The 3,438-nt window shown below is 40.3% G+C and overlaps 2 annotated features.

Moving 5' to 3' along the window:
• Window positions 2,007–2,508: an enhancer, noted in NCBI's record as "NANOG-H3K4me1 hESC enhancer chr5:113374279-113374780 (GRCh37/hg19 assembly coordinates)". NCBI's record gives its function as "activates a minimal SCP1, AML or CMV promoter by ChIP-STARR-seq in naive H9 embryonic stem cells {active_cell/tissue: H9 hESC(naive)}" and the evidence as "EXISTENCE:reporter gene assay evidence [ECO:0000049][PMID:30033119]".
• Window positions 2,509–3,008: an enhancer, noted in NCBI's record as "NANOG-H3K4me1 hESC enhancer chr5:113374781-113375280 (GRCh37/hg19 assembly coordinates)". NCBI's record gives its function as "activates a minimal SCP1, AML or CMV promoter by ChIP-STARR-seq in naive H9 embryonic stem cells {active_cell/tissue: H9 hESC(naive)}" and the evidence as "EXISTENCE:reporter gene assay evidence [ECO:0000049][PMID:30033119]".

Below are 3,438 nucleotides of genomic sequence, written 5' to 3' on the forward strand. Positions count from 1 at the left end.
TTTCTTTCTCTTGCCTGATTGCTCTGGCTAGTACTTCCAGTACTATGTTGAATATGAGTGGTGACAGTTCCAGTTCTTAGGGGAAATGCTTTCAACTTTTCCCCCTTCATTATAGTGTTCGATGTGGGTTTGTCATACATCGCTCTATTCTGAGGAATGTTCTTTTGATTCCTAGTTTGTTGAGTGTTTTTGTTACAAAACAATATTGGATTTTATCAAACGCATTTCCTGCATTTATTGAGATGATTATATGGTTTTCGTTTTTAGTTCTGTTTATGTGATGAATCATGTTTATTGATTTGTGGATGTTGAAACATACTTGCATCCCTGGAATAAAACCCACTTGATCGTATGCTGTTGGATTTGGTTTGCTAGTATTTGTTGAGAATTTTGTATCTATGTTCATCAGGGATATTGGCCTGTAGTTTTCTTTTTTTGTTGTGTCCTTGCCTGATTTTGTTATCAGAGTGGTACTAGTTTCATAGAATGAGTTAGAGAGTACTCTCTCCTACTTACTTTTTTTGAATAGTTGCCATAAAATCGATATCAGCTCTTTTTTGTATGTCTGGCAAAATTTGGCTCTGAATCTGTCTGATCCTGTTTTTTTTTGTTGTTGTTGTTGGAAGTTTTTTTTATTATTTATTTGATTTCATTACTTGTTATTGGTCTGTTCACAATTTCTATTTCTTTCTGGCTCAATCTTGGGCGGTTACGTGTTTCCAGGAATTTATCCAGTTCCTTTAGGGTTTGTAGTTTGTGTGGGTAGAGATATTCATAGTAATCTCTGATAATCTTTTGTATTTCTGTGGTATCGGTGGTGATATCTCATTTCTCATTGTGCTTATTTGAATCATCTCTCATTTTTTCTTGGTTAACCGAGCTAACATTCTGTCAATTTTGCTTATCCTTTCAAAAAAACAATTTTTGTTTCATTAATACATTGTATCATTTTTTGGTCTCAATTTCATTTAGTTCTGCTCTAATCTTTGTAATTTATTTTCTTTGGCTAGCTTTGGATTTGGATTGTTCTTGTTTTTCTAGTTCCCTGAGGCTTGATATTAGGTTGTTAATTTAAGCATCTTTTTAATGCTATAAACTTCCGCTTTTCCAATTGGGAAATCCAATGTGGCATTTAATGCTATAAACTTTCCTCTTAGCACTACTTTTGCTCTATCCCAGAGGTTTTGGTGTGTTATGTCTCTATTTCCATTTTTTTGGTTTTTTTTTTAATTTTTGCCTTAGTTTTGTTGTTTACCCAAAGATCGCTCAGTAGCAAGTTGTTTAGCTTCCATGTATTTGTATAGCTTTAAGAGTTCTTCTTGGTATTGATTTCTAATTTTATTATACTGTGGTCTGAGAAAATACCCAATATGATTTTGATGTTTTGGAAGTATTGATATTTGCTTTATGTCCAAGCATATGGTTTATTTTGGTTAATGTTTCATGTGGAGGTGAGAAGAATGTACATTCTGTGGTTGTTGGTTAGAATGTTTTGTGAAGGTCTATGAGGTCCATTTAGTCTATACTCCAGTCTAAGTCCAGATAAGTCCAGAGTTTCTTTGTTGATTTTCTGCCTTGATGGTCTGTCTAGGTATGTCAGTGGGGTGTTGAAGTCCCACACCATTATTGTATTTATAGTAATATGTTTTCGTACATCTAGTAGTATTTGTTTTATGAATCTGGGTGTTCTGATGTTGACTGCATATATACATATATATTTAGAATAGCTTTGTCTTCTTGTTGCATTGAACTCTTTATCATTGTATAATGCCCATCTTTGTTGTGGTTGGTTTTTTTTTTTTTTTTTTTTTTTGCTGTTGTTGGTTTAAAATCTGTTTTATCCAATATGAAGATGGCTACTGTTGCTTGCTTTTGTTTTCCATTTGTGGAGTATAACTATTTTTTCATACTTTCAGAGTTGTTTCTCTGGTTCTTTCTCAGAGGAAGGAGAGATAAGCTATCTCTCCTTATTTTTTAATTTTGCTTTTATTTGGATGGGATTTTTCCCCATTGAGGAGGTGTCTATAATATACAATGTTGTGTAGGGTCCTTTGGCTTTTGTTCTGGGTGTTTTCAGTCACTAAGAGTCTTTCTACATTCCTTGGTTATAGCTAGCCTTTGCACGGTGGCTTTTCCAAAAGCTGGATGTAGTAGTGATGTGCTGGGTGTGTGAGCAGGTTCACTGCCTTCTGTGGGGCCAGAGTAGTGGAGTCTCAGGAAACTTATTTCATTCCCCAGTGCTGTATGCTCACGGAGCAAATGTCCTGCTGTGTCATTCAACCTTCAGGATAGTAGGTGATGTTTATGGGTAATAGCTGGCTACTGGCAATGTGGATACTTGATCCTTGTTTACTAGGAGAAGCTCTCTGTTGCCTCAGGCAGTAGGCTGATCTGTGGAATGCAGAGTTCCCTGAGCTGCCTGCTCAGCCCCAGAATGGGGAGCCAAGATGGGCATGGCTACACTGGGCAGGCCTGCCTACAAGTCCCCCAATGGCAGGCATAAGCACAAGCTCAGAGGGGATGTCCAGTGGGCGGCCACTGAGTGCCCAGAGGTGTGCCTCAGCATGGAGTTGACAAACCTCTGCTGTCCCAAGTTTTCTTCATGAGAAATGGAGACAGCCTAAACTTCTAATCTAGAAGAATGGCTGTTCCAAATACCTGGAGTCTAGGCATAATGCAGAGAGTATGCCACTGCACCAAGGTCTCTGCAAGAGAAGGGAGGGGCAGCTCAGGCTCCTATTCAGGTGAGTATGTACACCAAATGCCTGGGAATATACCCTGGTGAGGAGTGAGAGAACAACCACTGCAGCAATGTCTTTGTAGGGGATGAGAGGGGCAGCTCAGACTACTAGTCCAGGTGAGTGGGTATTTCAATTGCCTGGAAGTATATCCCCCAGCAAGGAGTGGAGTGACCCATGGTGAAACAATGTCTTTGCAGGAAAGTTGGGGGCAGCTCAGGCAACAAATCCTGAAAGAGGGAAGTACTAAATGCCTAAGAATATGCCCAGGTGTGGAGTGGAGGCAACACCACTACACCAAGATCTTGGGACAGGAAGAGTAGGGTGGCTCAGGCTGCTAATCCAGGTAAGGGTGAGTGCTCTGCATGCCTGGAGTATTACTTGGTCATAGAGTAGAGAGGACCCCTCTGTAGCACAATCTCAGGGGAGAAGGCTGGACACCCGATAATGATTATGCAGACAAGTTCCAGGTTGCAGAGCTGTCCCTGGCTGCAAGTCTTGCCACCCAAGAGAAACCATGGCTTCAGCAATTCTCCTCCCACTCTAGTCTTGTGATGGAAGAGAGCCCAATTCCAGCACCTACTTCGGGGGCATTTTCCATACTTGTTACTCAATTCTGGCTGTGGTGGCCCTTTCCCTGATCTAGAGCAAGCGCTCCAATCTCTGGGCCAAGGTTTAAATGCCCGTGCAGCTGTGCTGC

This window comes from Homo sapiens, chromosome 5 (genome assembly GCF_000001405.40).
Source record: "Homo sapiens chromosome 5, GRCh38.p14 Primary Assembly".
Taxonomy (NCBI): domain Eukaryota; kingdom Metazoa; phylum Chordata; class Mammalia; order Primates; family Hominidae; genus Homo; species Homo sapiens.